Source organism: Homo sapiens, chromosome 11 (assembly GCF_000001405.40).
Source record: "Homo sapiens chromosome 11, GRCh38.p14 Primary Assembly".
NCBI lineage: Eukaryota > Metazoa > Chordata > Mammalia > Primates > Hominidae > Homo > Homo sapiens.
Genome location: NC_000011.10, coordinates 47,206,027 through 47,212,940, shown reverse-complemented (window position 1 = coordinate 47,212,940; position 6,914 = coordinate 47,206,027). Strand labels below are relative to the sequence as shown.

General features: G+C 48.4%; 1 annotated feature.

Annotated features, from left to right (window-relative positions):
• Positions 3,049–3,228: a silencer, noted in NCBI's record as "fragment chr11:47231264-47231443 (GRCh37/hg19 assembly coordinates)". NCBI's record gives its function as "represses an EF-1alpha promoter that drives an FKBP-Casp9 reporter gene in an ReSE screen in HepG2 liver carcinoma cells {active_cell/tissue: HepG2}" and the evidence as "EXISTENCE:reporter gene assay evidence [ECO:0000049][PMID:32094911]".

The following is a 6,914-nucleotide window of genomic DNA, read 5'->3' as shown; positions in this document are numbered from 1 at the left end:
CCTGACAGTTTGTGGGGGTGGGAGGAGATATACAAAAATGCATTAATGGTAGGCCATCGCATTGGCTCAAGCCTGTAATCCCAGCACTTTGGGAGCCTAAGGCAGGTGAATCACTTGAGGCCAGGAGTTCAAGACCAGCCGGGCCAACATGGTGAAACCCTTTCTCTACTAAAAATACCATCAGGCGCAGTGGCTCATGCCTGTAATCCCAGCGCTTTGGGAGGATGAAGCAGGCAGATCACTTGAGGTCAGGAGTTCGAGACTAGCCTGACCAACATGGTGAAACCCCGTCTCTACTAAAAATACAAAAATTAGCTGGGGCGTGGTGGCACTTGCCTGTGGTCCCAGCTACTCAGGAGGCTGAGGTAGGAGAATCGCTTGAACCGAGGAGAGGGAGGCTGCAGTGAGCCAAGATCATGCCACAGCATTCCAGCCTAGGCGACAGAGCAAGACTCCAACTCAAAAAAATAAAAATAAAAATAAATAAATATAAAAAATTAGCTGGGCATCATGGCACGCACCTGTAATCCCAGCTATTCAGGAGGCTGAGGCAGGAGAATCACTTGAACCTGGGAGGCAGAGGTTTCAGTGAGCTGAGATAGCGCCACTGCACTCTAGCCTGGGTTACAGAGTAAGACTCCATCTCAAAATAAACAAACAAAAAATAATAATTTGTTTAATGCATTAATGGTAGATCCTACTCTCAAGGATTTTTCAGACAGATAGGGACAGAAGATGTTACCAAAATCAACTCTTGGTCCAGTGTGGTGGCTCATGCTGGTAATCTCAGCACTTCGAGAGGGCAAGAGGATAGGATCGCTTCAGCCCAGGAGTTGGAGATCAGCCTCAGCAATACTGAGACCCCTGTCTAAAAAATTAGAAAATACACAACTTAGCTAGGTGCGGTAGCACACGCCTGTAGTCCCAGCTACTTGGGAGGCCAAGGCAGGAGGATCGCTTAAGCCCAGGAGTTTGGGACTGCAGTGAGCTACAATTGTGCCACTGCACTCCAGCCCGGATGACAGAGGTTTACCCTGTTTCTAAATAAATAAATAAAAATTGGCCAGGCGCAGTGGCTCACGCCTGTAATTCCAGCACTTTGGGAGGCCGAGGCGGCCGGATCACCTGAGGTCGGGAGTTCGAGACCTGCCTGACCAACATGGAGAAAACCCATCTCTAGTGAAAATACAAAATTAGCAGGGCATGGTGGCACATGCCTGTAATCCCAGCTACTCAGGAGCCTGAGGCAGGACAATCACTTGGACCCAGGAGGCGAAGGTTGCGGTGAGCCAAGATGGCGTGATAGCCCTCCAGCCTGGGCAACAAGAGCAAAACTCTGTCTCAAAAATAAATAAATAAATAAATAAATAAAAATTAAATAAGCTCTTGCAACGGAATGAATGCTCCAAAAGGGAAATTAGAAGGCCGGTTGCGGTGGCTCACGCCTATAATCCCAATAGGAGACCGAGGTGGGCAGATCACCTGAGGCCAGGAGTTTGAGACCCACCTGGCCAACATGGTGAAACCCCTCTCTATTAAAAATACAAAAATTAGCCAGGCATGGGGCACGTGCCGGTCATCCCAGCTACTCAGGAGGCTGAGGCATGAGAATCGCTTGAACCGGGAAGGCAGAGGTTGCAGTAAGCTGAGATCACGGCCAGGCGTGGTGGCTCACGCCTGTAATCCCAGCACTTTGGGAGGCCCAGGCGGGCAGATCACGAGGTCAGGAGATTGAGACCATCCTGGCTAACACGGTGAAACCCTGTCTCTACTAAAAATACAAAAAAAATTAGCCAGGCGTGGTGGCGGGCGCCTGTAGTCCCAGCTACTCGGGAGGCTGAGGCAGGAGAATGGCGTGAACTTGGGAGGCAGAGCTTACAGTGAGCCGAGATCGCGCCACTGCACTCCAGCCTGGGTGACAGAGTGAGACTCCGTCTCAAAAAAAAGAAAAAAAAACACAAAAAGGCTGAGATCACATCACTGCACTCCAGCCTGGACGACAGAGTAAGACTCTGTCTCAAAAAATAAAAAATTAAAAATTAAAAAAAAGAAATGGTTTTGCCTGGGAAAGGGGCAAGCTGGGAGCTTCTCCCCTGCTAGCCTAGAGCTGTGTTTTCAGAGCTGTGTTGCAGAAGCAAACTGTTCGCCCCCTCCCCTTATTCAGACCAACCAACATGCCAACTAAGACCAACCTGTCCTTCAGCAGGGTGCTCAGTTGCAGGGGATATTGAAGTGTAAGAAATGGACTTTGCCTCTAAAAGATTTACAACCTACTGGGAACTGAATAAAAATATATGTGAAACAAGTAAAATACTTCAAGGTAGGTACACATTTGAAGACTAAGTATGCTATGCCCACCAAGGTTTTTGGTTTTTGGTTTTATAGAGACAAGGTCTCACTATGTTGCCCAGACTGGCCTTGAACTCCTGGGCTCAAGCCATCCTCTAGCCTCAGCTTCCCAAATTGCTTTGATTACAGGCATGAACTACCATGCCTGGTCACCAATTAAGATTTTTGGATGCACTCAGGAAAGCTAATTCTATGGAGACAGTAGTACTGTTGTAACGACCCAAGGGGTTCACTTTGCCTGAGCCAACTCATCAAGACAGGGGAATTGCAACAGAGAAAGAGTAATTCACGCAGAGCCAGCTGTGCAGGATACCGGAGTTTTATTATTACTCAAGTCAGTTTCCCCAAGCATTGGGGGAGCAGAGTTTTTGTTGTTGGTGGTGGTGTTTTGGTTTTTTGTTTTGTTTTGTTCTGAGACGGAGTCTCGCTCTGCCACCTAGGCTGGAGTGTGGTGGCGCAATCTCAGCTCACTGCGGTCTCCACCTCCTGGGCTCAGGGAATTCTGCCTCAGCACCCAGAGTAGCTGGGATTACAGGCATGCGCCACCATGCCCAGCTAATTTTGTATTTTTAGTAGAGACGGGGTTTCACCATGTTGGCCAGGCTGGTCTCGAACTCCTGACCTCAGGTGATCCACCCGCCTCTGCCTCCCAAAGTGCTGGGATTACAGGCATGAGCCACCATGCCCAGTCGGGGAGCAGAGTTTTTAAGAATAACTTGGTGATTTGGGGGAAGCCAGTGAGCCAGGAGTGCTGACTGGTCAGGGATGAAATCATAGGCCGTCGATGTTGTCTTCTTGCTCTGAGTCAGTTCCTGGATGGGGGCCACAAGATCAGGTGAGCCAGTTTATCGACCTGGGTGGGGCCAGCTGATCCATCAAGTGCAGGGTCTGCAAAATATCTCAAGCACTGATCTTAGGAGCAGTTTAGGGAGGGTCAGAATCTTGTATCCTCCAGCTGCATGACTCCTAAACCATAATTATTTATAATCTTGCAGCTAATGTTAGTCCTACAGAGGCAACCTAGTCCCTAGGCAAGAAGGAAGATGGTCTGCTTTGGGAAAGGGCTGTTATCGTCTTTGTTTTATGTATTGTATGTATGTACGTATGTATTTATTTTCGAGACAGAGTCTCTCTCTGTTGCCTAGGCTGGAGTGCAGCGGTGCAATCTCTGCCTTCTGGGTTCAAGCAATTCTCCTGTCTCAGCCTCCCTGGTAGCTAGGACTACAGTCACACGCCACCATGCTCAGCTGATTTTTGTATTTTTAGTAGAAACGGGGTTTCACCATATTGGTCAGATTGGTCTCGAACTCCTGACCTCAAGTGATCCACCCACCTCGGCCTCTCAAAGTGCTGGGATTACAGGCATGAGCCACTGTGCCCAGCCATTGTCTTTGTTTCACTGTAAATTATAAATAAATTTCTCCCAAAGTTAGTTCAGCCTACGCCCAGGAATGAACAAGGACAGCTTGGAGGTTAAAAACAAGATGGAGTTGGTTAAGTTAGATCACTTTCACTGTATCAGTTATAATATTGCAAAGGTGGTTTCACTGTCTTTGGGAAGACCTCACAGGAGAGATGGAATTTTGTGCAGTTTGACTTGAAAAAAGTAGTGTTTGGCTGGGGAATGGAAAAGAGCCTCTTAGGCAAGGAACAGCTTGGTAACATTTGGGAACGGGTGTGAGTTCTGAGAAAGGAAATGAAGCCCTGGCATGTGGTAGTGGGCCTGGTACTATCAGCTAGGCCTTGATGTTCCACTGAAGTAAATAATTTCACAATACATGAACACCAGACAAGGCTACTCTGTGGCCATGATAAACCAAGAGAAAAACATCATCACAGCCGGGCATGGTGGCTCACGCCTATAATCCCAGGGAGGCCGAGGCAGGTGGGTCATGAGGTCAGCAGTTCAAGACTAGCCTGGCCAAGATGGTGAAACCCCGTCTCTACTAAAAACACAAAAATTAGCCAGGCACGGTGGCAGGTGCCTGTAATCCCAGCTACTCGGCAGGCTGAGGCAGGAGAATCGCTTGAACTCAGGGGCGGAGGTTGCAGTGAGCTGAAATCACACCACTGCACTCCAGCCTGGGCGACAGAGTAAGACTCCGTCTCAAAAAAAAAAACAAAAAACAAAACACAACACCATCATCACGGCCGGGCACAGTGGCTCATGCCTGTAATCCCAGCACTTTTGGAGGCTGAGGCGGGAAGATCATGAGGTCAGGAGTTCAAGGCCAGCCTGACCAACATGATGAAATCCCGTCTCTACTAAAATTACAAAATTTAGTTTGGCATGGTGGCATGCGCCTGTAATCCCAGCTACTCAGGAGGCTGAGGCAGGAGAATTGCTTGAACCCAGGACGCGGAGTTTGCAGTGAGCCAAGATTGCGCCATTGCACTCCAGCCTGGGCAACAGAGCAAGACTCCATCTCAAAAAAAAAAAATTAGCTGGGTGTGGTGGCGCATGCCTGTAATCCCAGCTACTTGGAGGCTGAGGCAGGAGAATCGCTTAAACCCAGGAGATGGAGGTTGCAATGAGCAAAGATCATGCCACTGCACTCCAGCCCAGGCAACAGAGTGAGACTCTGTCTCAAAAAAAAAAAAAGAAAAGAAAAAAGAAAGCAAAAATGACGTCCAGATGTTTAGCTACCTGGAAATACCATTTATTGAGATGAGGTAAACTGTGAAAGAGACAGAAAAAGAAGGAAAGATCAAGAGTTCACCTTTGGACACATTGGATTTGAGATGCTGATGAGATGTCTGGGAGGATTTGTCAAGAAGGCAGGGTCATGCACTATTCTGGACATCACCAATGAACCCGAGTCCCAGGAAAAGGTATAGGAACCCTGCTCCTCAGCCTTGCAATGGGAGCTCTGTGCCCAAGGTGAGGTTGGACCAGGGTGGAGAAGGGGGAGGATGGGAACTCATGCGTAAGTTGCGTCTGTGGTACACCTGGCATTCCGCTCAGCACTCTGTCACCATGGCCTCACAACAACCTGGCAGAGTAGGACTTACTCTTCCCGTTTTACAAAGGAGGAGACTGAAAATCAGAGAGGTGCTAAGATTTGCAGAGGGACACAGCTAAGAACTGGGAAAGTGAGGACCGGTTGGTAACACTGAGCACCACAGCAGAGACCAGGTGTATTCGTTTCCCAGGGTGGCTGTAACCAGTTACTGTAAATGAGTGGCTTCAAATGACAGAAATATATTCTCTCACAGTTCTGGAGGCCAGAAATCCAAAATTAAAGTGTTGGCAGGGCCACACTCCCCAGGCTCCGGGGTAAAATTTTTTTTTTTTTTTTTTTTGAGATGGAGTCTTGTTCTGTCATCTAGGCTGGAGTGCAGTGGCATGATCACAGCTGACTGAAGCCTCAAATTCAAGGGATCCTCCTTCTTCAGCGTCCCCAGTAGCTGAGAGTACAGGTATGCACTGCCATGCCTGGCTAATTTTTTTTTTTTTAGTTTTTGTAGAGATGTTAACCAGGATGGTCTTGAACTTCCTGGCCTCAAGTGATCCTCCAGCCTCAGCCTCCTAAAGTGCTGGGATTACAGGCATGAGCCACTGCACCAAGCCTCGAATCTTTCCTTGCCTTTCTCCTAGCTTTTGTGGCTGCCAGCAATCTTTAGCATCCCTTGGTTTACAGCCTGTCATTCCAATCTCTGCCTCCATTTTCCCAGGATCTTCTCCTCTGTGCATCTATTTCTCTGTATCTGACCTCCTTCTCCTTCGCTCTTTTGTTTGTTTTTAGAGATGGGGTCTCACTGTGTTGCCCAGGCTGGTCTCGAACTCCTGGGCTCAAGAGATCCTCCCACCTCAGCCTCCCAAGTAACTGGCAAAATAGGCATGGGCCACCACGCTGGCTTGCCTTACTCTTTTTGGTATGTGCTTCACTTTTTTTTTTTTTTTTTTTTTTTGAGACAAAGTCTTGCTCTGTCGCCCAGGTTGGAGTGCAGTGGTACGATCTTGGCTCACTGCAACCTCTGCTCCCTGGGTTCAAGCAATTCTTGTGCCTCAGCCTCCTGAGTGGCTGGGATTATAGGTGTGCACCACCATAACCAGCTAATTTTTGTATTTTTAGTAGAGACAGGGTTTCAGCATGTTAACCAGGCTGGTCTCGAACTCCTGGGGTCAAGTGATCCGCCTGCCTCAGCCTCCCAAAGTGCTGGGATTACAAGTGTGAGCCACCACACCTGGCCAATGTGCCTTACTCTTATTAGGACACTTGCCATTGGATTTAAGTCCTACCTGGATAATCCTGGATGATCACCTCACTTAAAAATTCCGAATTAGGTTAGGTGCAGTGCCTCAAGCCTGTGATCCCAGCACTTTGGGAAGCTGAGATGGGTAGATCTCTTGAGCCCAGGAATTGGAGACTGGCCTGGGCAACACAGTGACATACTGTCTCTACAAAAATATAAAAATTAGCTGGGTGTGATGGCATGTGGCCGTAGTTTTAGCTACTCAGGAGGCTGAGGTAGGAGGATCCATTGAGCTCAGAAGTTCAAGGTTGCAGTGAGCCATGTTCACGCCACTGCACTCCAGCCTGGGTGACAGATTGAGATCCTGT